Source organism: Homo sapiens, chromosome 4, assembly GCF_000001405.40.
Source record: "Homo sapiens chromosome 4, GRCh38.p14 Primary Assembly".
NCBI classification, from domain to species: Eukaryota; Metazoa; Chordata; class Mammalia; order Primates; family Hominidae; genus Homo; species Homo sapiens.
The window spans coordinates 746,161-764,840 of record NC_000004.12 but is presented as its reverse complement, the minus strand read 5'-3'; the positions used below and the strand labels follow the sequence as shown (position 1 = coordinate 764,840).

General features: G+C 55.4%; 2 protein-coding genes and 2 long non-coding RNA genes across 15 annotated transcripts in view; 2 read left to right on the top strand and 2 right to left on the bottom strand.

Moving 5' to 3' along the window:
- PCGF3-AS1 (PCGF3 antisense RNA 1) overlaps positions 1-4,398 on the top strand; it is a 21,407-nt gene extending 17,009 nt beyond the window's left edge. Inside the window, exon 3 of the long non-coding RNA NR_171661.1 lies at positions 232-4,398. This is a non-coding gene — a long non-coding RNA (PCGF3 antisense RNA 1). The remainder of the gene's footprint in view (positions 1-231) is intronic.
- Positions 1-16,754, top strand: part of LOC124900163 (chloride intracellular channel protein 6-like) — a 33,762-nt gene extending 17,008 nt beyond the window's left edge. Inside the window, exons 2-3 of one of the 3 annotated variants that reach the window (XM_047416473.1) lie at positions 232-352; positions 2,002-16,754. In XM_047416473.1, coding sequence (XP_047272429.1) covers positions 4,794-6,677 — 1,884 coding nt within the window. In that variant the 5' untranslated portion in view covers positions 232-352; positions 2,002-4,793 and the 3' untranslated portion in view covers positions 6,678-16,754. The remainder of the gene's footprint in view (positions 1-231; positions 353-2,001) is intronic. The other 2 variants (XM_047416474.1, XM_047416472.1) reach the window with 2 other exon arrangements.
- PCGF3 (polycomb group ring finger 3) overlaps positions 1-18,680 on the bottom strand; it is a 64,258-nt gene that overhangs the window by 5,249 nt on the left and 40,329 nt on the right. For all 10 annotated transcript variants that reach the window (NM_001395245.1, NM_001317836.3, NM_001395246.1 and 7 more), the window contains one exon: positions 3,425-3,562. In NM_001395245.1, coding sequence (NP_001382174.1) covers positions 3,425-3,562 — 138 coding nt within the window. The remainder of the gene's footprint in view (positions 1-3,424; positions 3,563-18,680) is intronic.
- On the bottom strand, positions 16,657-18,680 carry LOC124900644 (uncharacterized). Its single transcript, XR_007057987.1, has 2 exons — positions 17,192-18,680; positions 16,657-17,134 (listed from the first exon to the last, which is right to left on the bottom strand). It is a non-coding gene; the product is annotated as an uncharacterized LOC124900644 (long non-coding RNA).

Below are 18,680 nucleotides of genomic sequence, written 5' to 3'. Positions count from 1 at the left end.
TGTATTCCTCCATCCCTACCTCACAGCCTAGAGATGGAGTGTGGTCCCTACCTCACAGCTGAACGGAAATCCAGTGCAACATATAAGATATTACAGGGCAGGCCCGTGCCAGTTAGGGGGATGACGTTTCTGCAGGGGGTGCAGGCGCAGGCACAAGCTCCTTGCAGTGGTGGGCTCCCATCCCGCCCCTATCTGGCCTGCAGCTGCCCTGAACCCTTTTTCTCTTGACAGGCCCCATCACACCCTGTCTACCACACCTGCCGTACTGAGCAACGGGAAGAGGTGGTTTGCAGCCCCATGAGCAGCCCTGACAGCTCCGGAATCGGGCACCCTGGTTCCCCAGGTGGCACAGGTGCCTGAGAGGCCCATAGGGCCGAAGTGTTTCCCTCCCCATCCCACCCAGGCCCAGTCCACACCAGCCCCCTCCCACGGCTGCAGCCTCCAGGGGCACCCTCTCCCCACAGGCCCTACCTCCGGTCCAGGCTGTCCCTCCCTCTCACCATAGTGCAAAAATGCACTAGGCTCCCCAGTCTTTTAAAAAAATTAGACTTTTTAAAGAACAATTTAAGGTTTACAGCAAAATTGAGAGGAAGGTACAGGGAGTTCCCGTCCCCCTTGGAACCCCCCTGCCACCAACACCCTGCATGGGGGCACATTAGTCACCACCCAGGAACCTGCACTGACATCACCTCCACCGAGTCCAGAGCGGATGTCAGGTCGCCCTGGTGGCACAGCCACAGGTGGACAAACAGCAGCATCGCCGCCCAGGAGCCCTGTGCCCGCCCACTCCTACTACCCTCCTCAAGCCCCTGCAGCCTCCGGATGGTTCTGCCTTTTCCAGTGCGCCATGCTGCAGAGCTGGAGTCGCACGGCCTACAGCCTTTTCAGAGGGGCTTCTCTACTTAGTAACAGGGACTTGATGTTTCTCCCATGTGCCTGCTCTTGGCCCGACTGCTCATTTCTTTTCAGTACTGGATAATAGTCCAGTATGGATGCACCACGGTTTATTTTTCCACTTATCTACTGAAGGGCATCTTGGTCGCTTCCAGGTTTTGGTAATTATGAAGAAAGATGCTATCAACATCCGGGTGCAGGTTTTTGTGTGGGCAGGAGATTTCCAGTGGGTAAATGACGAGGTGTGGCTGCTGGGTGGTTTGCCGAGAGTGTGTTTCGTGTTGTCAGCAGCTGCCAAGCTGTTCTCCACAGGGCCTGCGGGTTCCACTTCCCACAGGAATGAACCTGCGCTCCCGGCGTTTCCCGAATGTGTTGTCAGTGCTTGGGATTCTGGCCCTTCTATGGGGTACGCGTGGTGCCACGCAGTTTTCCTTGCGTTTCCCTGATCATGTAGACAGTTCTTCAGATTCCTCCCTGGGGAAGGCATGAATTGAAGCAGCCCCACCTGCCTGAGTGGCTGGGTTGGGGGCTCAGAGGCACGGTTAACGCAGCAGCAGCGCAAACCTCACACTCTTCCCTGGAGGAACCAGCCCTGCGCTGGGAAATGGCCAACCTCTTCCCCACCCCCTGCAGCCCCACTGTCCGGCAGCTTCCCGCTACACCTCCACATGAAAATCCAAGGACTTCCTCGGCCTGCTCTGTCCCCAGCTACCATCCATCTTTTCTGTTTCGCTACACAGAAAAGCAAACAAAACGATAGAAACTTAGCAAAAAGCGTTGCCCCATTTCCTTCTCTCCCTTCCCCCCGTGTCCTGACTTGGTTTCTCCATGATCTCCAGGCAGCCCGTGCTCAGTGAGTCTCCCCAACCCCGGTGTGCTGTCCGTATCCCCGGCCAACCTGTGGGACACTCAAGGCTGGCATTGGCCCCCCATGACCTGACAGCCTCTGCTCTGTGCCACCACAGCAGCTACGCCAGCCTGTCCCGAGACACCACCCCCCACCCCAAACCGAGCAGCCCCAGGCCTGCAGTCATTCCTGACCCCTTCCTTTTCTCTGCATCACCACCCAAATACATCAGCAACTTATTGTGGCTTTCTCTGAATTAGTCTCCTGCGGCTGCCGTGGAAATTATCACGAGGTGGTGTCTTCAAACAATAGAAATGTACTCAGTTCCAGAGTCCATAACAGCCACACTCCCTCTGCAGGCTCCAGGGGAGAAGCACAGTCCATTCCGTGCTGCTGCCACAGAACACCACACACTGGGTGATTTATGAAGAACAAATTGATTTCGGCACAGTTCTGGGAGCTGGGACATTCAAGGTCACCACGTTGCCACCTGTGAAGGCCTTCTGCTGCATCCTCATGTTGGGGAAGATCAGAAGTGAGAACACATGCTGGCCAGTCCTTTCACAGCAGCATCAATCCGTGCATGGGGCAGGGCCCTCGGCCTGAGCGCCTCCCCCAGGCCCTAACTCCCAGCACTGCCCTGCTGGGGATGGAATTTCCAACATGAATCTGGGGGATGCTTTCGGACCACAGCCGGGGAGCCTGCCCTGGCTTCCAGCTGCTGGTGGCCCAGGGGCTCCCTGGCTTGCCTCGAGGCTGCCTCCCTCCAGCCTCCAGTCCGTCCTCTGCTCTGTCCTCACCAGGGCCTCCTGTCTCGAGTCTTCCTCCGCCTCACTTGTGTCATGGGATTTAGGCTCCACCCAGATATTCCAGAATTATTTCATCCCAAAATCCTTTATTTAATTATATCTACAAAGATCCTTTTCCAAACAAGATCCCATTTGCAGGCTCTGGGGGTTAGGATGTGGCTTATCTTCTGGGGCCACCACTGAGTCCACTGCTGCTACAGACAGCATCTCAAGTCTGTCCACTTCTCCACCCTGACCGCCCCCACCACAGTCCGCCTCTCCTGCAACTCCTGGCGCTGGCCTCTCCTGCGTCCATTTCTGCACAGCCTGAGCGATTTTCAAAAACGACACCAGACCCATGCTCCTGCCCACAGCCGCCAGCGCCTTCTGTCTCCATGCAAAGCTGGACCCTGCTGGCGCCTGCATCCCCATGGTGTCACTGCCTTGGGGGCTCACAGGGACCCACACTGGCATGTTCATGGTGCGCCCGCTGCCAAGGCCGCCTCATGCCAGCACTCCTTCGTCTCCTTACACACCACAGCCTGGAAGGGTCCTCCCTCTCTGCATCCGCCCATGTCTCCCCTTGTGAAATTAAAGCACAGAATTTCTCGTTTTGAGGAAAACCTTTATCCTATTTTAAAACAGTCTCATCATCCCCGCCCTAGTTCTCTCTTCCACTCACAGTAGCATTCCACGTTCCCTGTCTCTGGGCATCCTACAACCCTTAGGGCTGTCTCCTATCCCGCTCCCCGGTGAAGCAGGCAAAACGGATTTTTTTCTGGTTAAAATCTCCAAAATTGTTAAAAACAAAACAAAACTAAGCAAAGAATCTTGGAGTTACCTTTAGAAATAAGAGAGGACTTGTTATGGTTTCTACTTAGGGATCAACTGTTACCTCGTTAAAGGATGAAAGGTTGAGTTTTTTGGCGATGAACTTCTTCAGATGCAAGACGGTCGCCTGGGCTGAGCAGCGGATCCACTTCCGCTTCAGCCCGCGCAGTTTGCTGCTGTTACACTCCAGGCAGATGCTCACCTGCGGGAAAGGACGCTGGTGAGAGCGCAGCAGGAGGGTTCCCCCGGACGGTTCTGGAGGCTTCCTTAGACATATTTCACTAATTCCTCAATCTAGGACTGCTGACCTTTTTGAGATCAGACATCTGCTTTGACTTCAACACTGCAGAAAAAGAATCTTACATACCTTATCTGAAAACCTGTTTATCGTCTGCTTGCCATTTTGTGAACTATAACCTCACCCTGTTAATTCTGTGTTATTAACATAATAGTTGAGAGTTAATCCCACAGTTACTTATCCATCGCAGGCACTGGGTTCTTGGTCTCCAGCTAAGCCTGTCCGGACAAACATGGCGCAAAGGGGAGTGGGCGGCCCCGTGTCTGCGAATGCACTCGGGGAGACAGCAGCGACTGCAGGAAGACAGTAGGGAGAAGCCTTGAGCAGGGCCACAGGCGGAAGGTCACAGCTGCCTTCCAGGTGACCAGCAGTTTGGCCGCAGGATAAAAAGTGACTGTTAAGGGGACTGTGGAGTCCCAGCAGCCACGGGCTCCCTGCCCGGTGCGAAAAGGAATCTGCCCAGGACGAGGCTTCACCCAAGGGCCCGGCCGGCTTGGCCCCCAAGATGTGCCTGACAAGGAAGGGCGACGCTCACGGCAAACGCTTCTACAGGTGGAGCCGCAACAAACGGCACAGTTAGGGCCTAAAAATGCAGTGGAAGAATGGACAGGGGGTTAACTGAAACATGTATGTCTAAAATTACAAAAGATACAAAAGGGAGGACACCAGGGGTACAGACGGGCAAGTATTGAAGGTAATCAGATACAATTTCTAAAAATAAAAACACTCACGGAAACTAACATCTCAGTGGATGGCTGAACCACAGATTCTTCTCAGCCGAGGACAGATTAATGTCCTAAAAAAAAATTCACTTGAGGAAGTTACCCATCAGGAGTAGAGATAAACACACCAATTCAAACAATAAAAGGAAGGCTAAGAGAAAGGGGAGAAGACGGGAGCCCCAAAGGGAAGAACAGAAAGGAAAGGAAGTGTTAAGAAACAGTGACTAAGGATCTCCCACAACAGTGAAGGGCAGTCCTCAGATTCAGGAAGCAAAAGAATCCAAAATACAAGAAATACCCACTCCGACACGGTGCAGTCACTGAGCACAGCCCATTAAAGGCCCCGCAAGAGCCACTGGGGAGATAAGTGGATTCTGTGCAAAAAGCAAGAGACATCCTTGCTCCGGGGTGGGATGGAGCGAGGCCGCCTGCAAGCATCACAGGAGAGGGACAATGTGAGCGGGAAGAAGATCCGGGAGTCTGGAGAGAGAACTCGGGAGAGAGGCCGTGGGGAGAAAGACCCGGAGTCCGGAAGGAGAAGAACTCGGGAGAGGGGCCGCGCGGGGAGAAAGACCCGGAGTCCGGAAGGAGAACAACTCGGGAGAGGGGCCGCGCGGGGAGAAAGACCCGGAGTCCGGAAGGAGAACAACTCGGGAGAGGGGCCGCGCGGGGAGAAAGACCCGGAGTCCGGAAGGAGAAGAACTCGGGAGAGGGGCCGCGCGGGGAGAAAGACCCAGAGTCCGGAAGGAGAAGAACTCGGGAGAGGGGCCGCGCGGGGAGAAAGACCCGGAGTCCGGAAGGAGAAGAACTCGGGAGAGGGGCCGCGCGGGGAGAAAGACCCGGAGTCCGGAAGGAGAAGAACTCGGGAGAGGGGCCGCGCGGGGAGAAAGACCCGGAGTCCGGAAGGAGAACAACTCGGGAGAGGGGCCGCGCGGGGAGAAAGACCCGGAGTCCGGAAGGAGAAGAACTCGGGAGAGGGGCCGCGCGGGGAGAAAGACCCGGAGTCCGGAAGGAGAAGAACTCGGGAGAGGGGCCGCGCGGGGAGAAAGACCCGGAGTCCGGAAGGAGAACAACTCGGGAGAGGGGCCGCGCGGGGAGAAAGACCCGGAGTCCGGAAGGAGAACAACTCGGGAGAGGGGCCGCGCGGGGAGAAAGACCCGGAGTCCGGAGCGAGAAGAGCTCGGGAGAGGGGCCGCGCGGGGAGAAAGACCCGGAGTCCGGAAGGAGAACAACTCGGGAGAGGGGCCGCGCGGGGAGAAAGACCCGGAGTCCGGAAGGAGAAGAACTCGGGAGAGGGGCCGCGCGGGGAGAAAGACCCGGAGTCCGGAAGGAGAAGAACTCGGGAGAGGGGCCGCGCGGGGAGAAAGACCCGGAGTCCGGAAGGAGAACAACTCGGGAGAGGGGCCGCGCGGGGAGAAAGACCCGGAGTCCGGAAGGAGAACAACTCGGGAGAGGGGCCGCGCGGGGAGAAAGACCCGGAGTCCGGAGCGAGAAGAGCTCGGGAGAGGGGCCGCGCGGGGAGAAAGACCCGGAGTCCGGAAGGAGAACAACTCGGGAGAGGGGCCGCGCGGGGAGAAAGACCCGGAGTCCGGAAGGAGAAGAACTCGGGAGAGGGGCCGCGCGGGGAGAAAGACCCGGAGTCCGGAGCAAGAAGAGCTCGGGAGAGGGGCCGCGCGGGGAGAAAGACCCGGAGTCCGGAGCAAGAAGAGCTCGGGAGAGGGGCCGCGAGGGGAGAAAGACCCGGAGTCCGGAAGGAGAAGAACTCGGGAGAGGGGCCGCGCGGGGAGAAAGACCTGGAGTCCGGAAGGAGAAGAACTCGGGAGAGGGGCCGCGCGGGGAGAAAGAACTGGAGTCGGGATGGAGAAGAACTCGGGGGAGGGGCCGTGCGGGGAAAGACCCGGAGTCTGGAGGGAGAACTCGGGAGAGGGGCCGCGTGGGGAGAAAGACCCAGAGTCCGGAGCGAGAAGAGCTCGGGAGAGGGGCCGCACGGGAAGAAAGACCCGGAGTCCGGAAGGAGAAGAACTCGGGAGAGGGGCCGCGCGGGGAGAAAGACCCGGAGTCCGGAAGGAGAAGAACTCCGGAGAGGGGCCTCGAGGGGAGAAAGACCTGGAGTCCGGAGCGAGAAGAACTCGGGAGAGGGGCCGCGCGGGGAGAAAGACCTGGAGTTTGGCGGAAGAAGTGAGAAGCAGGGAGAAAGGGGGTGCCCGGTGAGAGCCGCGGTGGGGGTGCTTGTGCAGGGAGGGGCACAGACTTACAGTGACTTTGGACTTTTTTTTTTTTTTTTTTTTTTTTTTTGAGACAGAGTCTCCCTCTGTAGCCAGGCTGGATGCCGTGGCACGATCTCGGCTCACTGCAACCTCCGCCTCCTGGGTTCAAGCGATTCCGCTGCCTCAGCCTCCCGAGTAGCTGGGACTACAGGCGCGCACCATCATGCCCGGCTAATTTTTTTGTATTTTAGTAGAGACGGGGTTTCACCAAGTTGGCCAGAATGGTCTTGATCTCCTGACCTCGTGATCTGCCCACCTCGGCTTCCCAAAGTGCTAGGATTACAGGCGTGAGCCACCGCGCCGGGCCAACTTTGGATTTCTAAAAATGTAAATAGTTTATACATTTTGTAACCACTAGTATAACAGAAGTAGAGCTTATACCTTGCAAACCAGAGGAAGAAAGAAAGAGATTAAAGAAAGTTACTAATTCACTAGACAACAGGGAGGAAGGAAGCATTAGGAAAAAACTGACGAAAAGAGCAAAATAAAAAAATAAAGCAGGAACCAACTCACATCCTCCATGGAAAATCGTGGAATGTGTAAGGTAACGTGCCAGCTAAAAAAGTTTGATTTTTTTAAAAAACCTAGCTCTACGTTGTAAACAGTGTCACATTTAAGACATTTTAAGAACAGAAATATCACACAAGTATTCACCAACAGAAAGCTGGCATAGCTAGATTAGTATGTCATGGGACTTTAAGAAATAGAGCTTAATGAGGAAGAAGCCCCCCAAAGACGAGAAACGTTTCTATACGGGAACACAGCTGGTGACAAACGCACGCCAACAGAATGGCCATGGTGGGCTTCACGTCTCTATAAGCAGCGGACGCACCCTGCCCTCAACAGGCAGCCGCCGTCTCCGACTCAGGGAACAGGTGTGCCAGCCACGCAGGCACAGGTCTGAGGCAGCGGGGTCTGCAGTGCATGGGGCCCGCAGGGCAGCAGGAAGGGCTGCACAGATGAACGCGGGCCTGCATGCACCTGCGGGAAAACGCAGACACACATGGGCGGGGGTGGGAGTGGGGGGGATTGTGGAAGGAAAACAAGAAGAAAATATGTTTACGTTTGCTCAGATTTGCATACATACAGGAGGTGATCACAGTGGTTCTCTATAGGTCACTACAGACAGCGGCAGAGATGAGAACAAAATTAAACCTTTTCAATAATACTAACCTCAGGACTGAACGAATTACCTATTTAAATACACTAAGTTACAAGCATGCTTCTAATTTTTAGGCTTTATTATGGCACAGTTTACACACACCTCTTTTATGTATATAATGCAATAATTTTCCGTAAATTCACAGACTTTCTCGATCATCGCCATGGCAGTCTCAGATGGTTTCCATCACCTCAGAGCCCCCGGCAGGCCCCTCTGCGATCTAACCCTGCTGGGGGAGCGGGGTGGGGAGTGAGTGTTTAATGGGGGCAGAGCTTCAGTTTGGGAAGATAAAAAGGCTCTGGAGATGATGGTGGTGGTGGTGGCTGTGTAACACTGGGTCTGTACCCAAGGCCACTGAACCACACACCTGAAAATGGTTAAAATGGCATATTTTATGTGCATGTAACACAATTTAGAAAGCTGGTTAAAAAAAACATGAAAATTCTAGAATTATTTTAATAAGAACCAAATTATGAAGCTGGAAACTAAAGGAATGTTCAACTCTAGAGTTTAGAAAAGAGCCGGGTGCAGTGGCTTACACCTGTAATCCCAGCACTTTGGGAGGCTGAGGCGGGTGGATCATTTGAGGTCAGGAGTTCGAGGCCAGACGGGCCAACATAGTGAAACCCCGTCTGTAATAAAAATACAAAAATTAGCTGGGCATGGTGGTGCGTGCCTGTAATCCCAGCTACTCAGGAGGCGGAGGTGGGAGACTCACTTCAACCAGGGAGGTAGAGGTTGCAGTGAGCCGAGATTGCACCCCCACACTCCAGCCTGGGCGACAGAGTATAAGACTACATCTCAAAAAAAAAAAAGCCAAGTGCGGCGGTGGCTCACGTCTGTAATCCCAGCATTTTGGGAGGCTGAGGCGGGTGAATCACCTGAGGTTAAGAGTTCAAGACCAGCCTGATCAACATGGAGAAACCCCGTCTCTACTAAAAATACAAAAAATTAGCTGGGTATGGTGGCATGTGCCTATAATCCCAGCTACTCTGTAAGGCTGAGACAGAAGAATCGCTTGAACCCGGGAGGTGGAGGTTGCGGTGAGCCAAGATCAGGCCTTGCACTCCAGCCTGGGCAAGAGGGAAACTCCATCTCCAAAAAAAAAAAAAAAAAAAAAAAAAAAAGGACAATTCTGAAGAAGAAAAATGAGGAGGGGTATGTACTCTCCCAGAAGACCACAACTTAATGGTAAAATAAATCATTGCAATTCAGTAAGTTCCTTGTTGTTTTGGCACAATGGGAGACAAGAGACCAGCGGAACAGAGCAGAGAGCCCAGGGGGACCTGAGAGTGTGGAAACTTGGCAAAGTTGAACTCCACCTTGTCCATTCTACACACAAGGTCAACTGCAGGGGCTTACAACCCAACTAAAAAGCAAACCTTTAAAATATTTTACAAGACAATGTAAGAGAATGTATTTATGACCTTAGAATGGGGAAACATTTTTAAGATTCAGAAGAAAATACCGATACATTTAATTATGTCAAATTTTAAAACTGTGGATGATGATAGGTCGAAGAAAGCCGACAGCCGCAGAAGGAAAGACGATCCCTGCAGTGAGCGTGGGGCGGCGAGGGAGGAGGTAGCCCTGCAGCTCACATAAGGAAAAGTCAGTCTTCCCAGGACAGAGATGGGCAAAGAACAAGTAAGCAACTCACACGCAGAGGAGCCCAGAGACGTGCGATGAGTCGCTGGACACCCCACACACAGGAGACTGGAATCAGAAATAACACAGATACCGTGGAACACACCTGCCCAGGGGGACAAGTGCAATGTCTTAGAAGAGTGATGGGCTGGTCACCACCTAAAAGTCTCCAGTATTAGATGGGAAATTAAGTGTAAAAAAGTCACAGCGTAACAACACGTGCCACGCACACAACGCCGTGTGCTCTGCGACACCACGCGGGCCTGTGTGCACACAGCAGTCACCATCAAGCGGGTACGTTACACACCTCGAAATGCAACTCTGATTGTAAAGAGGGCACTGCAGAAAGACCTGTCGCTGTCTATGGCTACACATCGGCCTGCCTGGGAACACTGAGCTCCTTGTCCACCTGGAAGTGAAAAAGAGCCCAAGATCTGCCATCTGCATCTGGATCACCAGCGAATCCTGCAGGCTCCCTCCCTTTTAAATATGCCCCAAACCCAGTGCTGCACCCGCACCGCCACCTGCCTGGGCCTCTGGCTCAGACGCCTGCCTGGTCTCCGCATGGCCACCCTGGCCGTGCAGGCAGCTCACTGCAGAGCAGCTGCGCTAAGTGGCAACCCTCTGGGGATAAAGCCACGCCAGGCTGCATCCCACAGCACACCCCGATCTCACATCCCAACTGCCTCATCTCCCTCCTCTGGGTGAACAGCAAGTTCTCGCCACAGGCCCCCAAGGTCCCCAACCTCACCTCCAGCCTTACCCGTTCACTCTGCCCCGGACTCACCACCCACGGCACGTGGGGCAGCCTGGCACCAGGTCCCAGCTCACTACCTCCTGCCTCACCTCTACAGTCCAGGAGAGGCTCTTTCTACCCTCCGCCCCTTCTACCTCCAGGGGCTCTGGCCTGGATGGGTGGGCTCTCCGCTCCCCACCAGCCAACCCTCACCACGCCGGCTGCGAGGCCCTTGCAGGCAGAGCCCACTTCCAGCAGGCGTGCAGCAGGAGCAGGTGACCGGCTCTCGGGTGTGAAGTCCCAAGAGCACAGCGCGTGCCCGAGGGTGCGGACAGGAGCCAGTGGGCCAGGGAGGCACAACTCGGAGGAGTGAAAACAAACCACATTTCCAGCTCCAGACACAAGAGCCATTGGAGCCTCTGGAGGGCGGCAGGGACCCCACACCAGAACCCCCAGCCTGCTCAGGGTATAGGAGCCATTTCCCCTGTTTCTGGTGCTGGGACATCACACCCACCAAGTCAACAGGCCCGGTAAGGGTTTCCTAACTCTGCACGAGCGAAGATGAGCAGAGACCACACCAGCCCTGCAGTCCCACTGGGTCTGTGGGTGCCAGGACCACCAAAGACGGAGGCGACTCCTGCCAGGACCCAGAACGCCCCTGAAGTCCACTGGGCAGCTGCTCGCTCCAAGGGAAGCTGAATGTAGGGTTCGTAGAAGGTCAGAGTCTCGCTCTTGTTACCCAGGCTGGAGTGCAGTGCCTCGATCTCAGCTCACTGCAAGTTCAAGCGATTCTCATGCCTCAGCCTCCGAGTAGCTGGGATTACAGGCACCCACCACCATGCCCGGCTAATTTTTTGTATTTTAGTAGAGACGGGGTTTCACCTTGTTGCCCAGGCTGGTCTCGCACTCCTGAGCTTAGGCAATCTGCCCGCCTCAGCCTCCCAAAGTACTGGGATTACAGGCGTGAGCCACCGTGCCTGGTCCAGTCTTCTTTTTTTTTTTTTTGAGACCGGACTCTCGCTCTGTCGCCCAGGCTGGAGTGCAGTGGCGTGATCTCGGCTCACTGCAAGCTCTGCCTCCCGGGTTTACGCCATTATCCTGCCTCAGCCTCCGAGTACAGGTGCCCACGACCACGCCCAGCTAATTTTTTGTATTTTTAGTAGAGATGGGGTTTCACTGTGCTAGCCAGGATGGTCTTGATCTCCTGACCTTGTGATCCGCCTGCCTCGGCCTCCCAATATGCTGGGATTACGGGCGTGAGCCACCGCACCCGGCCAAGAGTCTTCTTAAACATTAAGTTCTAGGCCAGGTACAGTGGCTCACACCTGTGGTCCCTACTCGGGAGGCTGAGTTGGGAGAAGCACTTGAGCCCAAGAGGTCGAGGCTGCAGGGAGCTGAGATTGCACCACTATACTCCAGCCTAGGCAAGAAAGTAAGATCCTGTCTCAGAAAAATAAAAAAGCTCTAAAGTTCTGTTCTAACTTCCTTGCCATTTGCTCCGGGGCTTGTCAGCTCTGGGAGAGAAGGTGCCCATGCCCTCTCCTGGGCCACCTGGCAGCTCAGGTGTGTGAGCCATCAGCACCCAGAGGGGCCTCCAGTGAGGGCCGGGATCTGTCTCCCACTATCCAGGTAATGGAGCTAATCTCAAACACAAACCTTTGTGGTTCGACAGAGGACAAAGCCTACTGAAGTGAGAGAAGAGTTTCATCAGGGACGTGTTCAGAAGAGCCCTGGACAGACGGGCACCAGGAGGGCACTGGCAATCCCGAGGCTCTGAAAACGAAGATGGGCGGAGGCCGAGTGTTTGGATCTGACAGGGGCCTGAAGGCGGCGGGAATCTCTGGGGTTGCCCTGGCGGGGTCACAGCCACGCGCAGGCCCCTCCCGTCTGCCCAGCCTCAGTCTGGTGGGAAGACCCCGGGGGCCTGGAACCGGAGGAGGCTGCACACACAGGGGTCGAAGTCCATGTAGAGCCCCTGTATCCCCAAGACTGCATGGCCCCCCACCCCCGAGTCCCAGCGGACACTCAGGACCCCAGCTCAGGGCAGCAGGCCCGTCCCCCACCTCACTCCTTATCCACAAACCCCACCCTTGCCCGCCCGGTCCCCGGAGGCCTCAGGATGCCCACGCAAAGCCAGGCTCTGGAAGCAGCAGCTGGGGGAAAAGAGCGGAACAGCTGTGGCCGTGCATCCATGAAACCCGCCGGCTGCTCCCAAAGAAGTCAGGCTCCAGAAAGGAGAGTTCTGGAATTAAACAGACCGATGGCTTATACTTAAAAAAAGATGAGAGCAAAAAACAGCTGTGAAGCAAATGAGTCACCTGAGGCTAACCAAGAGGCTTCTGGCTGTGAAAGGAATGGGGTCACACAGAGAAGGTGGCAGATGCAGGGACTGCGGGAGGCAGAACTGAGAGGAGAAAGAACGACCAGGGACCTCAGGAGGGAACAGCAAGGGCAGTGGAAGAGGCGGCTTCGCCAGTTTCCAAACTCCCAAGGTCAAGTGTGGGAAACGCCATTCACCTGTGCAGGGGGCACCATCTTCCAGGAGGATCCCCATCCCCTCCCTCGGAAAACAGAAAGAAAGGCCCCGTCAAGTATTTTTGGTTTAGAAGACATCGTTGTGAGTAAATAAACCCGACACGCTTTTGCGTTGCTCAGCGATGACTAAACTTGCCTCTCTCAGGAAGATTCAGAGGAGCCACCAGTCCCAGGAGGCCTGTGCCTTGAGGCTGAGTGCCCACCAGTGGGGGTGGCAGCGAGGGGGCCTGCGCCCGTCAGATGATGGAGAAGAGGTCGGCTGTGAAGCCAGCGCGGCCGGCTGATGCCACCCTGAGCCTCGGCTGCTCTGAGTTGGCTGCTGAACAAACCTAGAGCTGGAGCCCAGCCAGGGGTGGGAGGGCCAGAGCCTCCAGGCACAGGCACAGCATCCACAGCTTCATGCCCTTTGGAGGGGCCACCGGGGGAGGGCACAAGGCTGAGAGCAGAAACATGGGCCTGGGTGGCAGGTGCTTCCCTCATATGTTTTTTTTTTTTTAATGCTTAGTATTAAAAGCACAGAATTTAATCAGTTCATCCGAGTGACTGAGGAGGGCTTAAGAGTTAAGAGAAGAAACGACTGTCTCTGGTGTGAGGGGGACAACACACAGCCCGTGACCGGCAGGAGCTCAGGGGCCACCGCACTGGGCTCAGAAGTGACGTGCGGACGTGGCGAAGCACAAATCCAAACACACCAGGAAGACACCAGAAACGGCCACAAAACCCATGCAACCTCCCGTTAAGCCTAAATAACTATAACGTCGCATCAAAACTTCAGTAAGATGAAGAAGCGATTCCTAGAATAAAATTAGTGTGAAATAAAATTTTAAAATTACCCAAAACAATCTGGAACAAACCCTCGGATGACTTCCCAAGTTTTGGAAGACGGAGATCAGGAACTCATCACGAAGTTATAGACGCGGATAATCCCACAAACGGACACGGAATCCAAGTTTAAGGGCAGCCACAAGAAGAACAGAAAGAGAATGCAAAATTCCCAAACCATTAGAGCAGAGAAAGAAGACACCAAAACCGGATCCAAGCCCTCATGGAGAGGGGAAAAAATGTATTCTCACAACAAAGACAACGGGTTAAACTCTCCTATCAAAGAGAACCTGAGATGTGTGCAAAAAAGCAAAGCAAAGGCCTCCGTAACACAGCTGAAACAAATGACAGGGAGGGTGGAAGCAGAGACCAACAGCAACTGTAGCGATGTTAGTACAAGAGAATCGGGGGTTAGAGCGAAAACACACTGAACAGGAAAAAAGAAAAAAAAAGAATCCACACTGGCAAAAGGTGCAAGTCATCAAAACTACGTAAGAACCATCAGCCTGCATAGCCAGCAGCACGGCTCCTAAGCAACACCGCGAGGTTACAGAGACACGGAGAAAACAAGAATCCACAAGAAAAACGACCGGACTTGGATGTCGGAGTTCACAATCTCCCAGGCTGCCTGCTTGTTTCTCATTCATTCAACTTAACACCTCAAAGTGCCTCACAAATAGGAAATCATTTAATCTTCATAAAAACCTCGAGGCAATCTCACCACCACCTCACGCCACAGACAGAGAAACTGAGGCAGAGGTAGGTCACTTGTGAAGGGCCACACCCTGGCTAAAGGCAGAGCAGGACGTGGGCAACTGGCCCCCGGGGTCCGCTTGTTTACCCACCACACCAACCAGCAAACTCAGCCAAAGGAAAATCACCCCAGGACCCCTGGAAAATCTGCACCCAAGTGAACAAGCAAGAAGATCTCAATCCCCCAAGGCAGAGATCCGTGTAGACAACACTCCCTGACCGCCCGGGAAGGAGACTAGAAAGAGGAGTGGATGGAACCCAAAAAGGCCACGTTACTCAAATGTTTCAGAACAAACTTCTCGATTAAAAAGGAACTCTGATGAAATTACAGCTTCTTTAGAAATGAATGCCAGTGAAAATATTATTCATCAAAGTCCGCAGGGAGCAGCCAGGAGCACACAGGAAACACAGCCGGAAATGCGCTTACAAAGACTTGGCGGGCACGTGGGCTCACGCCTGGAATCCTGGCACTTTGGGAGACTGAGGCAGGTGGACTGCTTCAGCCCAGGAGTTCAGACCGGCCTAGGCAACACAGCAAGACTCCATCCATCTCTACAAAAAATTAAAAAAGTTAACTGGTGTGATCTGCCAACAGTGTCTGCTACTCTGGAGGCTTGGGCAGGAGCCCAGGAGGCAGAGGGTACAGGGAGCTGTGATTGCACCATTGCACTCCAGGTTGGGTGAGAGAGCCAGATCCCGTCTCAAAGAATAACAAAAGACTTTTAACTCAAGATGTCAGAAAAAAAAAAGTTTTAAGAAAATTCAGCAAGGCTGGGTGCAGTGACTCACACTTTGGGAAGCCGAGGCAGGTGGATCACGAGGTCAGGAGTTCAAGACCAGCCTGGCCAACATGGTGAAACCCCATTTCTACTAAAAATATAAAAATTAGCCGGGTGTGGTGGGGTGTGCCTGTAATCCCAGCTACTTAGGAGGCTGAAGCAGGAGAATCGCTTGAACCCAGGAGGCAGAGGTTGCAGTGAGCCAAGATTGTGCCACTGCACTCCACACTCCAGCCTGGCGACAAAGTGAGACTGTCTCAAAAAAAAAAAAAAAAAAAAAAAAGGAAAGAAAATTCAGCAGGGCATGGTGGCTCATGCCTGTAATTCTAGAACTTTGGGAGGCTGAGGTGGGTGGATCACCCGAGGTCAAGAGTTCAAGATCAGCCTGACCAACATGGAGAAACCCCATCTCTACTAAAAATTCAAAATTAGCCAGGCGTGGTGGCGCATGCCTGTAATCCCAGCTACTTGGGAGGCTGAGGCAGGATAATCGCTTGAACATGGGAGGCAGAGGTTGCAGTGAGCCGAGATCGTGCCATTGCACTCCAGCCTGGGCAACAAGAGCAAAACTTCATCTCAAAAAAGAAAAAAACAAAATTCAATATTTGATCAATTTAAAAAAATTGGCCCTTTTGAAAGCAACAAATAAATCTTTAGCACGTCAAGGATCAAAAGAAAAGGTAAATATTAGTAAAAGTAAACACTGATATAAATTTAAAACTGCAAAACAGAGATTAAACTGGAGGAGGACATCACACACAGCTTTACATCGATCCATGGAAAACCACACCAGAGTAAAGGGGAGCAGCAGCCTGCACCCCTCTGGAACACCAGCCCACCCAGCAGACCCCAAAACTGAATTTCCACGAGATCCCAGGGGGTTCCTCACCACTGGGGAACTGCTGTAAGGACAAGTACCTAACAAAGGCCAACCAGGAAAGACCCAGGGGCCTCCGCGCAGACGAGACCAACACCAGAGACAGAAAAACAGCGTGGTTCCAGGAGAGCCGCCAAGCCACCAACAGAGGAAGCACCAGGTACGTCAACATCGGAAACCAGGCATGGCAGTGAAACCGGGGTCATGAAAGAAGAAGGTGATTTCCTCGCTTCCTGCCCCTCCGGACCCCTTCTCTGAACTGGCCGCTCTTCTCTACTGACCCACAAGGCAACGCCATCACATCCCACGTTGGACACACGTGTCTATTTCTGTAATGCTCACTGAACGTTTTAAACAACGTGTAAATGTAAACTAAAAAATTAAGGTTCCGTTACTTGGCTGGGCGCGGTGGCTCATGCCTGTAACCCCAGCACTTTGGGAGGCTGAGGCGGGCCAGAAGTTCGAGACCAGCCTGGCCAACGTGGTGAAACCCTGTCACTACTAAAAATACAAAAGTTAACCAGACGGAGCGGCAGGTGCCTGTAGTCCCAGCTACTCGGGAGGCTGAGGCAGGAGAATCGCTTGAACCCAGGAGGCAGAGGCTGCAGTGAGCCGGGATGGTGCCACCGCATTCCAGCCTGGCAGACAAGAGCAAAACTCCATCTCAAAAAAAAAAAAAAGTTCTCTAGACGTGGGTATGGAATTTCATCAAATTCTTTTACTGCATCTCTGTGACCGTGTAGTTTTTCTGTCTTCATCTGGTAATACAGTAAATGACACACGAAGAGGCCCTCGACGTTCACTCTCACTTTCCTTTCAACACACTGCCAGGCTTTACTTTCTTTCACGTAACATTCACGGAGCACAGAGACGCGCCCGGAGGAAAAGGCACAAAACGTGGGCCATGGGGCTGAGGCCAGAGCCGGCCACTGACCTGCCATGTTTTATATCTGCCATGCTTTACCCTAAGCACGTGTTCCTCTGGTAATTAAAAAAAAAAAGAAAAAGGAAGAAGTCGGGAGGAAGAAAACAGCAGCCCTTGGGTGCTGGCTGTCACTGCTTCCCTTCATCCCCAGGGAAGGTTTCTGGTGTGAGCCCTCCCTCGGTGCTCCCAGGACTGCACTATTACAGGAGCACTAATACAGGAGTGTCCCGGAGGCCCGGGGCCCCGCCCACCTGCTCACGCCTCCACGGCGAGCACTAACACTGCAGCGACCCCGGGGCCCCGCCCACCTGCTCACGCCTCCACGGCGAGCACTAACACTGCAGCGACCCCCGGGCCCCGCCCACCTGCTCACGCCTCCACGGCGAACACTAACACTGCAGCGACCCCGGGCCCCGCCCACCTGCTCACGCCTCCACGGCGAGCACTAACACTGCAGCGACCCCCGGGCCCCGCCCACCTGCTCACGCCTCCACGGCGAACACTAACACTGCAGCGACCCCCGGGGCCCCGCCCACCTGCTCACGCCTCCACGGCGAGCACTAACACTGCAGCGACCCCCGGGCCCCGCCCACCTGCTCACGCCTCCACGGAGAGCACTAACACTGCAGCGACCCCCGGGCCCCGCCCACCTGCTCACGCCTCCACGGCGAGCACTAACACTGCAGCGACCCCGGGGCCCCGCCCACCTGCTCACGCCTCCACGGCGAGCACTAACACTGCAGCGACCCCCGGGCCCCGCCCACCTGCTCACGCCTCCACGGCGAGCACTAACACTGCAGCGACCCCGGGGCCCCGCCCACCTGCTCACGCCTCCACGGCGAGCACTAACACTGCAGCGACCCCGGGGCCCCGCCCACCTGCTCACGCCTCCACGGCGAGCACTAACACTGCAGCGACCCCCGGGCCCCGCCCACCTGCTCACGCCTCCACGGCGAACACTAACACTGCAGCGACCCCGGGCCCCGCCCACCTGCTCACGCCTCCACGGCGAGCACTAACACTGCAGCGACCCCCGGGCCCCGCCCACCTGCTCACGCCTCCACGGCGAACACTAACACTGCAGCGACCCCCGGGGCCCCGCCCACCTGCTCACGCCTCCACGGCGAGCACTAACACTGCAGCGACCCCCGGGCCCCGCCCACCTGCTCACGCCTCCACGGCGAGCACTAACACTGCAGCGACCCCCGGGCCCCGCCCACCTGCTCACGCCTCCACGGCGAGCACTAACACTGCAGCGACCCCCGGGCCCCGCCCACCTGCTCACGCCTCCACGGCGAGCACTAACACTGCAGCGACCCCCGGGCCCCGCCCACCTGCTCACGCCTCCACGGCGAGCACTAACACTGCAGCGACCCCCGGGCCCCGCCCACCTGCTCACGCCTCCACGGCGAGCACTAACACTGCAGCGACCCCGGGCCCCGCCCACCTGCTCACGCCTCCACGGCGAGCACTAACACTGCAGCGACCCCGGGCCCCGCCCACCTGCTCACGCCTCCACGGCGAGCACTAACACTGCAGCGACCCCGGGGCCCCGCCCACCTGCTCACGCCTCCACGGCGAGCACTAACACTGCAGCGACCCCCGGGGCCCCGCCCACCTGCTCACGCCTCCACGGAGAGCACTAACACTGCAGCGACCCCCGGGCCCCGCCCACCTGCTCACGCCTCCACGGAGAGCACTAACACTGCAGCGACCCCCGGGCCCCGCCCACCTGCTCACGCCTCCACGGAGAGCACTAACACTGCAGCGACCCCCGGGCCCCGCCCACCTGCTCAC